Here is a 17,577-nt window from a genome sequence, read left to right on the forward strand (position 1 = left end):
GTCATGTAAAAAACCTCAGCCTGTTGCATGATTAAAGGGATGTGACCCAGTTACTTCCTTTGCCCCAGTGACCAGTCAGCCAATGACCAACATGTTAGTGAGGTCACCCTAGACCAACCAGGTGACTGCAAACACATGAGCAAGCCCAGTGAAGATCAGCTGAGTCAGGACCAGGTCAACACAACCACCTAGCTGACCCATAGACTCCTGAGCAATATTAAAGGTTGAGTTACTACATCTTAGAGTAATTTGTTATGCTGTGACAGATAACTGATACAGGGAGATTGACAATCTGGATTTTGGTAAGCCAGATATTAGAAAAGTAAGGATAATTCATTCATAAATAAAAATAATTCCTAGGTTTCATGTTAATAGCTGTATCAACTTGGGCAAGTTGTTTCAATTTCCTCATCTGATAACTGAAGTTAACAAAGTAGATTCTTTGGGGTGGGTTATTGGGCAGAGCAAATGGGAGAAAGTATGGGGCAGCACGTTATAAAACAGCAGGTTGGCATCATTTCTCTATACTCTGTCCTTTCTTTATTATTAAGGTTGGTACAAAAGTGATTGTGGTTTTTGCCATTGAAAGTAATGACAAAAACCACAATCACTTTTGCAGCAACCTAATAAGACATGAATAACTTTAGGAAATAATGGCATGGGTGTGTTTTATAAAGTTGAAAGCAACTTGATTTTTACCATGACCTAGGAGACCTTACGTGATCTGGCTGCTCAGTTCTCTTACTTTCCTACCTCTCTCTGTGTCCAGATCAGGGGTGTCCTCTCTGTTCCTCACACATGCCACATGCCTTCCCACATGAGAACGTTTGTACCTGCAGTTCCCTCCACCTGCGATAATATTCCCACCTCTCTCTCTCTCTCTGTTTATGTGAACCACAATTCGGGAACAGTATACTTATAATGCAAATAGGATCATGTGAAGTAGCACTCTTAGTAATTAATGTATGTTCTCTATTTTGAGTCAGAGCAACCCAAAAGATAAGTAAGGAAAAAAAAAAAACCCTTTGTCTTCTCCTATAGAGTCCCTTTAATTCACGAATCAGAATCTTGAGCAACCCGGGAGAAGCATTGTGAGTTTCATGAGAGCTGGTCAGGGGGCCTTCAGAAAAGATTGTTTCCCAGTCATTATTCTCTCTTTCTTTCCCCCCTCTCTTGCTTTACTGAGATAATTTTACATCATAAAATTTAACTGTTTTCAATGTACTATTCAATAATCTTTTTCGTGTATTTACAGAGTTATACAACCACCATCACAATCCAATTCTATCATCCCCAAAAGAAACCCCATACTCGTTTACAGTCACTCTCCATATCACCCCCAGCTCCAGGCAACCACTAATCTACTTTCTATGTCTATATATTTGTTTTTCTGGATGTTTTCTAGAAATGGAATTATACAAAGGCACACCTCTTTTAATGGCCTTCTTGCCTTATTCTTTGCATCTCAGCTGAAATGTTACCTCCTCTTTCCTTAAACTTCACTGTTATTCTGCGTGTCATCTCCTCATTGTTTTTTGGTAGAACTTATGCAATTTGTAATTATTTTATTTGTTTCTTTACTTGCTTCTGCCTGCCTATGCTACTAGAATATACTTTTTCTGAGGGCAGGGGCAATTTCTGTTTTACATTCTACTGTGTCCCAAGACCTACTTAGTGCCAGATGCAGAGTGGATGGATGTCCGGTAAATATTTGCTGGTTGAAAAAAGTTTTTAAAAAGTACTGGGGCAGCAGGATGGTGGAATAAGAGGCCCTAGACTCTCCTTTCCCCCAACAAATACACTGATTCAACAACAATTCATGGACAAATTCCCTTTGTGAGAAATACAGAAACTAGTTGAGAGGCTCTTTCACCCTGGGTGAGTGCAAAACTTGACACATCAAAGCCAGTAGGAAAATTTGACGCCCTCTCACCTCAACCCTTACCCCTGGCACAGTGCCATAAGATTGAGAAGAACCACGACTCTAGCTTCCAGCCTCTCCCTGAATAGGGAAAGAATTGAATTGCATGTACAATGCCCCAGCTTTTTCAGAGGTTCCTGAGGACTGTCTTCTGTCTTGCCAGTCTTGGACCACTGATAGGACCCAGCATACCCTAATCATCTAGAAGAGAGTAAAGATAGTGGTTTGAGCTGACAGTTGCCATAGCTCCTACCCCAGCTTAGCACAGAGTGAGCATATGAAAAACCCTAGCTCCCAGCTTCTCCCAAGGAACAGCAAGAGTTGGTCTGCATGCCCAATGCCCCACCTTTTGCAGGCACTGTCCAAATGACTGGAGTTTGTCTTGGAGTGCTGATAGAACCCAGCATAATCTAGCTGCCTGAGGTCTAGGGTAAACAGAGACAGAGGTTTATTTTATTTTATTTTTTGTTTTTTGCTTGTTGAGAAGGAGTCTTGCTCTGTCACCCAGGCTGGAGTGGCATGATCTCGGCTCACTGCAACCTCCACCTCCCGGATTCAAGAAATTCTCTTGCCTCAGCCTCCCGAGTAGCTGGGACTATAGGCGGCACGCCACCATGCCCGGCTAATTTTTGTATTTTTAGTAGAGATGAAGTGTCAACATGTTGGCCAAGCTGGTCTCAAACTCCTGACCTCAGGTGATCTGCCCGCCTCTGCCTCCCAAAGTGCTGGGATTACAGGCGTGAGCCACCGTGCCCTGCGGACAGACAGAGGTTTAGGCTGACAGTCTCCGTAGCCCCATTTCCTCACTCAGCACAGAATTAGTGAATGAAAAACCCTAGCTCCCAGCTTCTCTGTGGGGAGGGAAAGAGACCACACATCCAATGCTCTAACTTTTCTGGATGCTGCCTAAAGAACTGGCTTCTTTCTTGCCTGTCTCAGAGCATTAATGGAACCTAGCATTCTAGTCACCTGGGGGCTAGTGAAAGAAAGATAGAATTTTTACCTAGCATATAATTAGTCATCACTCCCCGCCACCCAGCTTGGTGCACAGTGAGCAGGTAGAAAAAAAAAAACAACACTCAAATTCCAGCTGCTCCTTGGGGGAGGAAAAGAGTTGGACAGCGTCTAATGATCTAAGTTTTTGGGGGGCTTCCCAAGGAATTGGCTTCATTTTTCACTTGTCTCAGAGCACCAACTGGACCAAACATACCTGGGAGTCACTGAAAATAAAGAAAGCAGGTTGGACTAGCAATAAAAGTTTGAGGCCCCAGAATTTCTGGCTGGGCTGGTTGATGAAGATATTCTCCTATATGAGGCCAGTCCATGAAGACTAGGAGAGGTGGACTTTTTTTTTCTAATGAGCAGACACCAACACAGTCAAGGTAAATTAATAAATAAATATTCAAGGTGAATGAATAAATAGGGAAATATGTTCCAAACAAAAAGGAACAAGATAAATGTCCAGAAATACCCATCATAAAGATGCTTACTGAGAGGACTTCCAGTTCCAAAATGGTGGTGCAGAAGCAAGCTGGATTTACTCCCCTTCACAGAAAACCAAAAACAAACATTGAGTGCTGAGATTATCCTAAAAAATACGCCAGAACTCAAATATGAAGATGAGATAGCTCCCAGGGCCTCAGAGAAGTGAAAAAAATTCTGAGCAGAGAATAGGACTTCCACATCTGTGATGCTCCTCCCTCCATTCTGCCCAGCACCAAGCATGCAGAAATATTTTCCCCCAATTCACTGTCTCTACACTGGAAACAGTGAGACTAAGGTGGACAACCATCTTGGATGCCCTGGCAGGAGATTTGTCCCTTCCTTAAGCCACGGGTAGCATCGAGAGTGTCTGAAGAGAGAAATATCCCTGAAGACAGGCAGAGACAAAGTGGGAGTTATGATTACCATTTCCAGCCCTGGGAACTCTGCTCTGTAACTTGGCCAAAGGAGATGCCAAATCACAGTAGCACACCACGCTGAAGGTGGTTCATTCCACAGGTCCCCTGGGCACAAACCCCTAGCCAGCTTTCCCACAATGCTGGGATATCCCCTTTAGGAGCTTCTGCATTCAGGAAGGACAGTGCTTCAATTATTTACTAGAGCTGAGGAGAACCTGGGCTTAAGGTGCCACCTAGAGCCAAAGGGGAGGCAGTGACCAAATAGTAAAGAACATCCAAGCAAACACATCTAATAAAAACCTAAACAAGCCAGTTAGAGAAGACTGGAATAAATAATTAAAGCAATACAAATACATAGACATACATCCATAAGAAGTAACAGCAAACAAGGAACCATGATCTCCCCAAACAGACAAAGCAAGGAACTAGTAACTGACCCTAATGAGATGGTGATATGTGAGCTCTCTGAAGAAGAATTTAAAACAGTAGTTTTAGGGGATCTCCAAGATAACACAAAAAAGCAAGTCAGAAATTTATCAGAAAAATTTAACAGAGATTGAAATAATTTTAAAAAATCAAACAGAAATCATGAAACTGAAAAATATATGTGCTACACTGAAAAATTTATTAGAGGGTCTCAACAGCAGAATTGATAGAGTGGAGAAAAGAATCGATGAGCTAGAAGATGACTATTTGAAAACACACAAACAGAGGAGAAACAAAAAGGATGAACAGCAAGATTGCCTACAAGATACAAAAATATTACCTTAAAAGACCAAATCTAAGAATTATGGATGTTCAAAAGGCAGCTGAGCAAGAGTACAGGGTAGAAAGCTTATTCAAAGAAATAATAACAGAAAACTTTAAAAAACTTGGTGAAGTTATAAATAACCAGGCACAGGAAGGTTAGAGAACACCAAATAGCTTTGACCCCAAATAAGACTACCTCAAGGCATGTAATAATAAAATTCTCAAAGGTCAAGGACAAAGAGAGAATCCTAAAAGTAGCAAGAGAAAAGAAGCAAATAATTTATAAAGGAGCTCCAATTCATCTGGCAACAGACGTTTCAGTGGAAGCCATACAGGCCAGGAGGGAATGGAATGACATTTTCAAAGTGCCAAAAGAAAAAAACTGACATTCAAGAATACTATATCTAGCAAAATTATCTTTCAAATCTGAAGGGGAGATAAAGTTTTTTTCCCAGACAAACAAAAGCTAAGAGAATTTACCACTACCAGATCTATCTAACAAGAAATGCTAAAGAGGGTTCTCAAATCTGAAAGAAAACAACACTAACGTGCCAAAAAAATTGAAAGTATAAAACCCACTGGTAAAATTGACTGCACAAACAAACCCAGAGTACTGTAATACTGTATTATTATTTCCTACTCATAACTCCAGTATGAAGCTCAACAGACAAATTTACCAAAAACAATAATAGCTATAGCAACCTGCTATGAGTTGGGCAGCATAAAAATATGCAAATTGAGACAGTTAAAATGTGGAGGAATGAAGTTAAGCTGTAGAAGGTTTTATTTTTCTGTTTTTTTCTTTGTCTCTATTATTTTCTTTGTGATCTAAGATAAGTTGTCATCTCTTTTTTTTTTTTTTTGATATGGAATCTTGCTCTGTCACCCAGGCTGGAGTGCAGTGGTGCCATCTTGGCTCACTGCAACCTCTGCCTCCAGGGTTCAAGCGATTCTCCTGCCTCAGCCTCCTCAGTAGCTGGGATTACAGGCACGCTCCACCACGGCCAGCTAATTTTTTTACTTTTAGTAGAGACGGGGTTTCACTGTGTTGCTCAGGCTGGTCTCGAACTCCTGAACTCAAGCAATCTACCCACCTCAGCCTCCCAAAGTGCTGGGATGACACATGTGAGCTACCATGCCCGACCAAGTTGTCATCTCTTTAAAATATCTGATTATATGTATGATATGTTTTTTGTAAGCCTTATGGTAACCATAATGTAAAAATCTATAACAGATTCTCTAAAAATAAAAAACAAATTAAAACATACTACCAGAGAAAATCACTGAACCAAAAAGGAAGACAGTAAGAAAGGAAGAGAGGAGTTACAAAACAACCAGAAAACAAGCAACAGAATGGCAGTACTAAGTCCGTACATATCAATAATAACACTGAATGTAAATGAACTCAATTCTCCAATTAAAGGGCATAAAATGGCTGAATGAATAAAGAAACAGGACCCAACTATATCCTGCATACAAGAAACCCACCTCACTTATAAAAACACATATAGACTGAAAGTGAAGGGATAGAAAAAGAGATTCCACACAACTGAAAACCAAATGATGAATAGAAGTGGTGAGAGTAGGCATCCTCGCCTTGTTCCTGTTCTTACGGAGAAAACTTTCTGTTTTTGCAATTGAGTATAACGTTAGCTGTAGTTTTTACATATATAGGCTTTATTTATTTTTATTTTTATTTTTTATTTTTTTGAGACGGAGTCTCGCTCTGTCCCCCAGGCCCGAGTGCAGTGGCGCGATCTCGGCTCACTGCAAGCTCCGCCTTCCGGGTTCACGCCATTCTCCTGCCTCAGCCTCCTGAGTAGCTGGGACTACAGGCACCCGCCACCACGCCCAGCTAATTTTTTGTATTTTTAGTAGAGACGGGGTTTCACCGTGTTAGCCAGGATGGTCTCGATCTGCTGACCTCATGATCCACCTGCCTTGGCCTCCCAAAGTGCTGGGATTACAGGCGTGAGCCACTGCTCCCAGCCTATGGCCTTTATTTTTATTTTGTTTTATTTTTTTGAGATAGAGCCTCTCTCTGTCGCCCAGGCTGGAGTGCAGTGGGGTGATCTTGGCTCACTGCAACCTCTGCCTCCCGGGTTCAAGCAATTCTCCTATCTCAGCTTCCCGAGTAGCTGGGATTACAGGCACCCGCCATCACACTCGGCTAACTTTTGTATTTTTACTAGAGATGAGGTTTCCCCATGTTGTCCAGGCTGGTCTTGAACTCCTGACCTTAGGTGATCCACCCGCCTGGGTCTCCCAAAATGGTGGGATTACAGGAGTGAGCCACTGAGCCTGGTATATGGCCTTTATTATATTGAGGCAATTTCCTTCTATTCCTAGTTTGTTGAGTTTTCTTTTTTTTCGTGAAAGGATATTGAATTTTGTCAAATACTTTTCCTGCATTTATTGAGATGATCATGTGATTTTTATCCTTTATTCTGTTAACGTGGTGTATCACATTAATTGATTTTTATATGTTTAATCATTCTTGCATCCCAGGGATAAATTCCCCTTGGTCATGGTGTATGATCCTTTTAATGTGCTGTTGAATTTTGTCTGCTATCCTTTTATTAAGGATTTTTACCTCTATATTCATCAGGGATATTGACTTGTAGTTTCTTTTCACGTGGTGTCTTCGTCTAGCTATAATAGCAGAGTGATGCTCTTCTTATTAAATGAGGTTATAAGTATTCCCTCCTCTTCAAATTTGCTGGAGAATTTGAGAAGTATTTGTATTAATGCTTCCTTAAATGTTTGGTGGGATTCACCAGGGAAGTAATTTGGTCCTGGGCTTTTCTTTGTTTGGAGTTTTTTTTTTTTGTTGTTGTTGTTTTTTAAATTAATGATTCAATCCCTTTGTTAGTGATAGGTTTGTTCAGACTTTTTTTTTATTAGACAATGTAAATTTATCATACTGATATTGTTTACAAAGATTAAAAAAATTTTATAACCACAGATTATTGGGGAACAGGTGATGTTTGGTTACATGAGTAAGTTCTTTAGTGGTGATTTGCGAATTTGTAGTCATTTATCCCTCACCCCGTTTCCATCCTTTCCCTCTGAGTTTCCAAAGTCCGTTGTGTCATTCTTATGCCTTTGCATCCTCATAGCTTAGCTCCCACTTGTGAGTGAGAACATACAATGTTTGGTTTTACATTCCTGAGTTACTTTACTTAGAATAATAGTCTCCAATCTCATCCAGGTCACTGTGAAAGCCATTAATTCATTTCTTTTTATGACTGAGTAGTGTGTATATATATATATGTATATATATGTATATATATAATATATATGTATATATATAATATATATGTATATATGTATATATTATATATATGTATATATAATATATATGTATATGTATAATATATATGTATATATGTATATATAATATATATGTATATATGTATATATAATATATATGTATATATGTATATATAATATATATGTATATATGTATATATATAATATATATTATATATGTATATATAATATATATGTATATATGTATATATATAATATATATGTATATATGTATATATAATATATATGTATATATGTATATATATAATATATATGTATATATGTATATATATAATATATATGTATATATGTATATATATAATATGTATGTATATATGTATATATATAATATGCATGTATATATGTATATATAATATGCATGTATATATGTATATATATAATATGTATGTATATATGTATATATAATATGTATGTATATATGTATATATATAATATATATTATATATGTATATATATAATATATATGTATATATGTATATATAATATATATGTATATATGTATATAATATATATGTATATATATAATATATATGTATATATGTATATATATAATATATATGTATATATGTATATATAATATATATGTATATATGTATATATAATATATATGTATATATGTGTATATATAATATATATATTATATATATGTATATATATAATATATGTATATATGTATATATATAATATATATGTATATATGTATATATATAATATATGTATATATAATATATGTATATATGTATATATAATATATATGTATATATATATGTATATACGTATATATAATATATATGTATATACGTATATATAATATATATGTATATACGTATATATAATATATATGTATATACGTATATATAATATATATGTATATACGTATATATAATGTGTATATATATGTATATATGTATATATATAATGTATATATAATATATATGTATATATGTATACATAATATATTATATATGTATATATATTATATATGTATATATAATATATATGTATATATGTATATATGTATATATAATATGTATGTATATATGTATATATGTATATATATAATATATATGTATATATGTGTATATATAATATATATGTATATATGTATATATAATATATATTTATATATGTATATATAATATATATGCATATATGTATATATATTATATATGTATATATATGTATATATATGTATATATGTATATATAATATATGTATATATGTGTATATATATGTATATATACAATATACATATATATACACACACACATATATACACATACACACACTATATATATAAAAAAATATATATATTTTATATGTATATACCACAGTTTCTTTTTTCTTTCTTTCTTTTTTTTTTTTGAGATGGAATCTCACTTTGTCGCCCAGGCTGGAGCACAATGGCATGATCTAGACTCACCGCAACCTCTGCGTCCTGGGTTCAAGTGATTCCCCTGCCTCAGCCTACCAAGTAGCTGGGATTACAGGCATGCACCACCACACCTGGCAAATTTTTGTATTTTTAGTAGAGATGGGGGTTTTGCTATATTGGCCAGGCTGGTCTTGAACTCCTGCCCTCAGGTGATCTACCTGCCTTGGCCTCCCAAAGTGCTGGGATTACAGGCGTGAGCCACCTTACCCAGTCTATATACCACAATTTCTTTATCCACTCGTTGATTGATGGGCATTTGTGTTGGTTCCATGTTTTTGCAATTGCAAATTGTGCTGCTGTAAACATACATGTGCAAGTATCTTTTTCATATGACTTCTTTTCCTTTGGTTAGACACCCAGTAGTGGGATTGCTGGATCAAATGATAGTTCTATTTTTAGTTCTTTAAGAAATATCCACACTGTTTTCCATAATGGCTGTACTACTTTACATTCCCACCAGCAGTGTAGAAGTGTTCCCTGTTCACCGAATCCATGCCAACATCCACTATTTTTTGATTTTTTGCTTACGGCCATTCTTGCAGGAGTAAGGCGGTATCGCATTGTGGTTTTGATTTACATTTCCCTGTTTATTAGTGATGTTGAGCATTTTTTCATGTTGTTGGCCATTTGTGTATCTTCTTTTGAGAATTGTCTATTCATGTCCTTAGCCTCCTTTTTGATGGGATTTTTTTTCTTGTTGATTTGTTTAGTTCATTGTAGATTCTGGATATTAGTCTTTTGTCAGATGAATAGATTGTGAAGAATTTTTTCCCACTCTGTGGGTTGTCTGTTTACTCTGCTGACTGTTCCTTTTGCTATGCAAAAGCTCTTTAGTTTAGTTAAGTCCCAACAATTTATCTTTGTTTTTATTGTATTTGCTTTTGGGTTCTGGGTCATGAAATTCTTGCCTAAGCCAATGTCTAGAAGGGTTTTTCCAATGTTATCTTCTACAATTTTTATAGTTTCAGGTCTCAGATTTAAGTCCTTAATCCATCTTGAGTTGATTTTTTTTATAAGGTGAGAGATGAGGATCCAGTTTCATACTCCTACCTGTGGCTATCCAATTATTCCATCACCATTTGTTGAAAGGGATGTCCTTTCCCCACTCTATGTTTTTGTTTGCTTTGTCGAAGATCAGTTGGCTGTAAGTATTTGAGTTTATTCTTGGGTTCTCTATTCTGTTCCATTGGTTTGTGTGCCCATTTTTCTACCATGATGTTTTGGTGACTATAACTTTATAGTACAGTTTGAAATCAGGAAATGTGATGCCTCCAGATTTGTTCTTTTTGTTTAGTCTTGCTTTGGCTATGGGGCTCTTTTTTGGTTTCATATGAATTTTAGAATTTTTTTTCTTCTAATTCTGTGAAGAAAGACGGTGGTATTTTGATGGGAATTGCATTGAATTTGTAGATTGCTTTTGGCAGAATTGTCATTTTCACAATATTGATTCTACCCATCCATGAGCATGGGATGTGTTTCCATTTGTTTGTGTTGTCTATGATTTCTTTCAGCAATGTTTTGTAGTTTTCCTTGTAGAGATCCTTCATCTGCATGGTTAGGTATATTTCTAAGTATTTTATTTTTATGTTTTGCAGCTATTGTGAAAGGGGTTGATTTCTTGATTTGATTCTCAGCTTGGTTGTTGTTGGTGTATCAAAGAGCTACCAATTTGTGTACATTAATTTTGTATCTGGAAACGTTGTTGAGTTCTTTTTTATCAGTTATAGGAGCTTTCTGGAGGAGTCTTTAGGGTTTTCTAGGTAAACGATCATATCATCAGCAAACAGTCACAGTTTAACTTCCTCTTTATCAATTTGGATGCCCTTTTTTTCTTTCTTTTGTCTGATTACTCTGGCTAGGACTTCCAGTGCTATGTTGAAGAGGAGTGGTGACAGTGGGCATCCTTGTCTTGTTTCAGTTGTCAGAGGGAATGCTTTCAACTTTTTCCCATTCAGTATTATGTTGGCTGTGGGTTTGTCATAGGTGACTTTTATTATGTTGAGATATGTTCCTTATGTGCTGATTTTGCTGAGAGTTTTAATCATAAAGAGATGCTGGATTTTGTCAAATAAAGAGATGCTGGATTTTGTCAAATGCTTTTTCTGCATGTAATGGGATGATCATGTAATTTTTGTTTTTAATTCTGTTTATGTTGTGTTATCACATTTATTGACTTGGGTATGTTAAACCATCCCTGCATCTCTGGTGTGAAACTCACTTAATCATGGTGGATTATCTTTTTGATATATTGTGGATTTGGTTCGCTAGTGTTTTGTTAAGGATTTTAGCATCCATGTTTATCAGGGATATTAGTCTGTAGTTTTCTATTTTGTTATGTCCTTTCTTGTTTTTGGTATTAGGGTGATACTGGCTTCATAGAATGATTTAGGGAGGATTCCCTCTTTCTCTATCTTGTGGAATAGTGTCAATAGGATTGGTACCAATTCTTCCTTGAATGTCTGGTAGAATTCTGCTGTGAATTTGTCTGGTCCTGGACTTTTTTTTGTTGGTTATTTTTAAATTATCGTATCAGTCTCGCTGCTTGTTATGGGTCTGTTCAGGGTATCTAATTCTTTCCGATTTAAGCTAGGAGGGTTGTATCTTTCCAGGAATGTATCCATCTCTTCTAGGTTTTCTGGTTTATGCATGTAAATGTGTTCATAGGAGCCTTGAATGATCTTTTGTATTTCTGTGGTGTCAGTTGTAGTAGCTCCTGTTTTGTTTCTTATTGAGCTTATTTAGATTTTCTCTCTTCTCTTCTTGGTTAATCTTGCTAATGGTCTATCAATTTTATTTATCTTTTCAAAGAACCAGCTTTTTGTTTCATTTATCTTTTGTATTTTTTTTCTTTAAATTTCATTTAGCTCTGCTTTGATCTTGGTTATTTTCTTTCTTCTGCTGGGTTTGGGTTTGGTTTGTTCTTGGTTCTCTAGTTTCTTGAGGTGTGACCTTAGATTCTCTGTGCTCTTTCAGACTTTTTGATGTAGGCATTTAGTGCTATAGACTTTTCTCTTAGCACTGCCTTTGCTGTGTCCTAGAGGTTTTGATAGGTTGTGTCACTGTTGTCATTCAGTTCAAATAATTTTTAAATTTCCATCTTGAATTTCATTTTTGACGCGGCGATCATTCAGGAGCAGGTTATTTAATTTCTGTGTATTTGCATGGTTTTGAAGGTTCCTTTTGGAGTTGATTTCTGGTTTCATTCTACTGTGGTCTGAGAGAGTGCTTGATACAATTTCAATTTTCTTAATTTGTTGAGGCTCGTTGTGTGGACTATCATATGGTCTATCTTGGAGAAAGTTCCCTGTGCCATTGAATTGAATATATATTCTGTGGTTGTTGAGTAGAATGTTCTGTATATATCTGTTAAGTCAATTTGTTCCAGGGTATAGTTAAATCCATTGTTTCTTTGTTGACTTTCTGTCTTGATGACCTGTCTAGTGCTGTTGGTGGAGTATTGAAGTCCTCCACTATTATTGTGTTGCTGTCTATCTTATTTCTTAGGACTATTAGTAATTGTTTTATAAATTTGGGAGCTCCAGTGTTAGGTGTATATATGTTTAGGATTGTGATATTTTCCTGATGGACAAGGTCTTTTATCGTTATATAATCTCCCTCTTTGTCTTTTTAAATGGCTGTTGCTTTAACATTTGTTTTGTCTGATATAAGAATAGTTACTCCTGCTTGCTTTTGGTGTCCATTTGCATGAAATGTCTTTTTCCAACTCTTTACCTTAAGTTTGTGGGAGTCCTTCTGTGTTAGGTGAGCCTCTTGAAAGAAAGCAGAAGATAGTTGCTTGGTGAATTCTCATCCATTCTGCAAATTCTGTATATTTTAAGAGGAGCATTTAGGCCTTTTGAGATGTGAGGTACCATTCCATTTATTGTGCTATTTGTTGCCTGTGTACCTTGGTTTTTTGTTTTTGTTTTTTAAATTGTATTTTTGTTTTATAGGTCCTCTGAGATATATGCTTTAAAGAGGTTCTGTTTTTATTTGTTTCCAGGATTTGTTTCAAGATTTAGAGCTCCTTTTTGCAGTCCTTGTAGTGCTGGCTTGGTAGTGGTGAGTTCCCTCAGCATTTGTTTGTCTGAAAAAGTCTGTATCTTTCCTTCACATATGAAGCTTAGTTTCATTAGATACAAAATTCTTGGCTGATAATTGTTTTGTTTGAGGAGGCCGAAGATGGGGCCCCAATCTCTTCTAGCTTTGTAGGGTTTCTGCTGAGAAATCTGCTGTTAATCTGGTAGGTTTTTCTTGCTAGGTTACTGGTGCTTTTGTCTCACTGGCCTTGAGATTCTTTCCTTCATCTTATCTTTAGATAACCTGATCACAGTGTGGCTAGGTGAAGATCTTTTTGCAATGAATTTCCCAGGTGTTCTTTGTGCTTCTATTGGATTTGTGCTTCTATTTGGATGTCTAGGGCTCTAGCAAGGCCAGGGAGGTTTTCCTTGATTATTCCCCCAAATATGTTTTCCCAGCACCATTTATTGAAAAGACTATCTTTTCCCCATTGTAAGTTCTTGGTATCTTTGTCAAAGATGAATTGGTTATAAGTGTGTGGATTTGTATCTGGGTTCTCTATTCTGTTTCATTGGTCTATATGACTTTACTTCTCTAGCTATAAAAGTCCTAGAAGGCATCTTCTTCTGATAGAAGGCTTCCTTTCTGCATTGAAAATTTGTTGTTTAGTATAGCCCTTCATCAATTTTCTTAGCTAGAACTTCTGGATAATTTGCTGCAGCTTCTACATCAACACTTTCTGCTTTACCTTGCACTTTTATGTCGTGGAGATGGCTTCTTTCCTTAAACCTCATGAACAAACCTCTGCTAGTTGCCAACTTTTCTTCTGCAGCTTTTTTCACCTTTCTCAGCCTTCATAGAATTGAAGAGAGTTAGGGCCTTGATCTGGATTAGGTTTTTAGGTTTGGTTTTAAGAAATGTTGTGGCTGCTTTAATCATCTATCTAGACCACTCAAACTTTCTCTGTATCAGCAATAAGGCTGTTTCACTTTCTTATCATTTGTATGTTTGCTGTAGTATTATGTTTAATTTCCTTCAAGGACTTTTCCTTTGCATTCACAACTTGGCTTTCTGGTGCAAGAGGCCTAGCTTTCTGCCCGTCTTGGCTTTCGATATGCCTTCCTCACTAAGCATAATCAATTCTAGCTTTTGACTTAAAGTGAGAGCCATGCAACTCTTCCTTTCACTTGAACACTTGAAGGCCATTGTAGGGTTATTAATTAGCCTATTTTAATATTATTGTGTCTCAGGGAATAGGGAGGCCCACGGAGAGGGAGGGAGACAGGAATGGCTGGTTGGTGGAGCAGTCGGAACACACACAACATTTACCGATTAAGTTCACTCTCTTATATGGGCGTGGTTAATGGCACCCAAAAACCATTACAGTAGTAACATCCAAGGTCACCGATCACAGATCACCATGATGGATATAATAAATAATGAAAGCTTGAAATATTGTGAGAATTACTAAAGTGCAAAACAGAGACATGAAATGAACGCATGCTGTTAGAAAAACAGTGCCAATAGACTTGCTTAATGAGGAGTTGCCATAAACTTTCAATTTGTAAAATGCAGTATCTGCAAACCACAATAAAGTGAAATGCAATAAAATGAGGTGTGCTTGTAATTAAAATCCAATCAAAACAACATGCTCATGATGGTGACAAAATATTGTCATTAACACTTGAGTGCCTGGTAAGAGCAATGGACCATCCAGTTGTGATACGCATCATTTTAAAATCCTCGATTTTTGGCTTTAACTTTTCAATGGAGTATATCCCTCCCATGGATGTTTTATATATTTTTCTTATTGATCTTTGTGGCATCTTATAATGAGCTACCTGAGTTTGTGAGAAATTATTTTGGAATTATAGTAGAAAACATGGAAATAACACATTTATCACTATTATTATTGTTGGAATGAACAACCCAGAAGATATAAGGTGACATTTAAAAACATTAGTTTTCAAGGATGTAAAGACAAGCGTATCTGAATATATTTTTTTCCACAGTAGGTGGCTGCAAACTTTGTATAAGCCTGGATGTTTATAGAGTAATAGTCAAGAATAAGTTTACACATTGTTCAAAATAATGTGACATGATTTCAAAAAGTGTTTGCCAAGAATCTGTAATGTTACAGCCACTGTATTACATGTGCACCCACTTGTCATGATAGATGAGCTGAAGTCATGTGACTTGCCCCAGAGGGACACATGAGAGTGTTACATTTGTAACATATATACAGTATTCAAGGAATATTAATTATTATTCTTATTATAACCAATGAGGTCCGTAGCTAGTGCTTTGCAAAGCTGAGGTACAAACCCTAATCTATCTGATATTCTGAGTCCAATAGTAACAAAAAATAATGTGGCACTCAAACACTCTATAGTGAAATAAATAAATATATATGTATATACACACACACATTATTTAATTTTTGGGCTGCTATAAGAAAAATAGCATAGCCTGGGTAGCTTAACAAACAGAAATTTATTTCTCACAGTTCTGGGGACTGGGAATCCAAGATCAAGGTGCCAGCAGATGCGGTATTTGGTAAGGGCTTGCTTTCTGGTTTGCAGATGGCTATTTTCTCATTGTGTCCTCACAGGCCAGAGAGGAGACAGACAGTTAGTTCTTGTGTCTCTTCTTATAACAGTACTAATCCCATTCATAAGGGCTCCAGCCTCATCACCTAATCACCTCCTAATACCATCACATTGGAGATTAGAAGAATTTCAACATACGAGTTTTGGGGAAACACAAACGTTCAGTCTCTAACAAGTTTTATATTTGGTTTATAAAAGTTTCTTGTTTCTGTTAATTTTTTTTACAATGTCTTTCTCCTTCTCTGACTTCACTGATTGATAGAACACAAAGAGAAGATCTTTCTGGATTTCACGTAATTATGCCTTGTCAGAGAATAATGTGCTTTTCTAAATCTCATGTGGTCTAACACTTTTTATGTGACAGATGGGAAAACTGAGGCCCAGAGAGGTTGAATGCCTCACTTAAGGTCACTTGGTGAGTTAGTGCCAAAGCTGGGAATGAGAGCCCAGTTTTCCATGATGCCACAGAGCCCCTCTGGGAGGAGAAAAGAGCTGGGTCTCATGTGAGAGCCTTGGCCCCTGTAGCCTTCCACACTGCAGCTCAGTGTGAGTGGGAGTGGGGAAAACTGCCAGAGGAGGCTCAGAGACCCTCAGCAGGACTGAAGACTACAACTGGGCTTCATACTGTCAAATGTAAAAGCCCACAGCAAGGGAGCAGAAAGCCCTGTCTGGAAAATGGCTACAGTAGGCAAATTTCATGCATTTGTATGAATGCAATCATTGTCTAGTGACAAAATTATTAATATCATAGGCTTTTTCTCTCTGTGTTTATTTGTCAGTCCTAGAAAGCCCTGCAGGACAAAGTAATCACGTTAGTTTCATCTTCTCCATTTCCTCTACCTAAAATATTTGCTGCTCTCTCTCTCTCTCTGTCTTTCTCTGTACATCTTATTACAGCATAACCCAGCATGGAGTAGTGGAAGGAATTCTGATTAAACCCAAGAATAGTGGGAAGAAGAAAGTTTTTAGAGACAAACTACTTAGGTTTGAGACACAGCTCTGCCACTTCCTGGCTGTGCTAACTTGGATGAGTCACTTACACTCTCTGAGGTGCTGTTTCCTTCTCTGGAAAATGGGATAATAATGGAATACATTATGAGAATTAAATGAAATAGTATGGGCGAAGTTCTTGGCAAGGTGATAGGACATAATACATTTTCAATGAATGTTAACTACAGAAAAAAATGTTGCTGTGATAAATGGGGAAAGTGACTTCCTCTCTCTGGAGCTTAGATTTATCAAATGTAAATAAAATAGTTGTAATAAAGACTCTTCCTGCTTGAATAGTCTATGATTCAGTCTTGCCTTGTACCCCATCAGTAATAACCCCTCCCTCACTGACTCACTAGCGCCCTGCATTTGGGCCTCTCTTGTGATGTCTCCTGCTCTGATTATAATTATTTTCATCGGTACCCACTTGAGGGCATGTTTATCTCAGAGACTTGTTCATAGTAAATGCTCAATAAATAAATGTTGAGTGGATGGATAATTGTTAATATTCTGGTCCCATGCAGCTCAGAGTGAGTAACTGTGTTGTGCCTTTTAAAAGCCTTTTAGGGCCAGGCGTGGTGGCTCACGCTTGTAATATCAGCACTTTGGGAGGCTGAG

At 36.7% G+C, this 17,577-nt stretch overlaps 1 annotated feature.

Annotated features, from left to right (window-relative positions):
• Positions 1-295: an enhancer, noted in NCBI's record as "tiled region #11709; HepG2 Activating DNase matched - State 22:ReprW, and K562 Activating non-DNase unmatched - State 22:ReprW". NCBI's record gives its function as "activates a minimal TATA promoter and a strong SV40 promoter by Sharpr-MPRA in HepG2 cells, with weaker activation in K562 cells {active_cell/tissue: HepG2 | K562}" and the evidence as "EXISTENCE:reporter gene assay evidence [ECO:0000049][PMID:27701403]".

This window comes from Homo sapiens, chromosome 5, assembly GCF_000001405.40.
Source record: "Homo sapiens chromosome 5, GRCh38.p14 Primary Assembly".
In the NCBI taxonomy this organism is placed as follows: domain Eukaryota; kingdom Metazoa; phylum Chordata; class Mammalia; order Primates; family Hominidae; genus Homo; species Homo sapiens.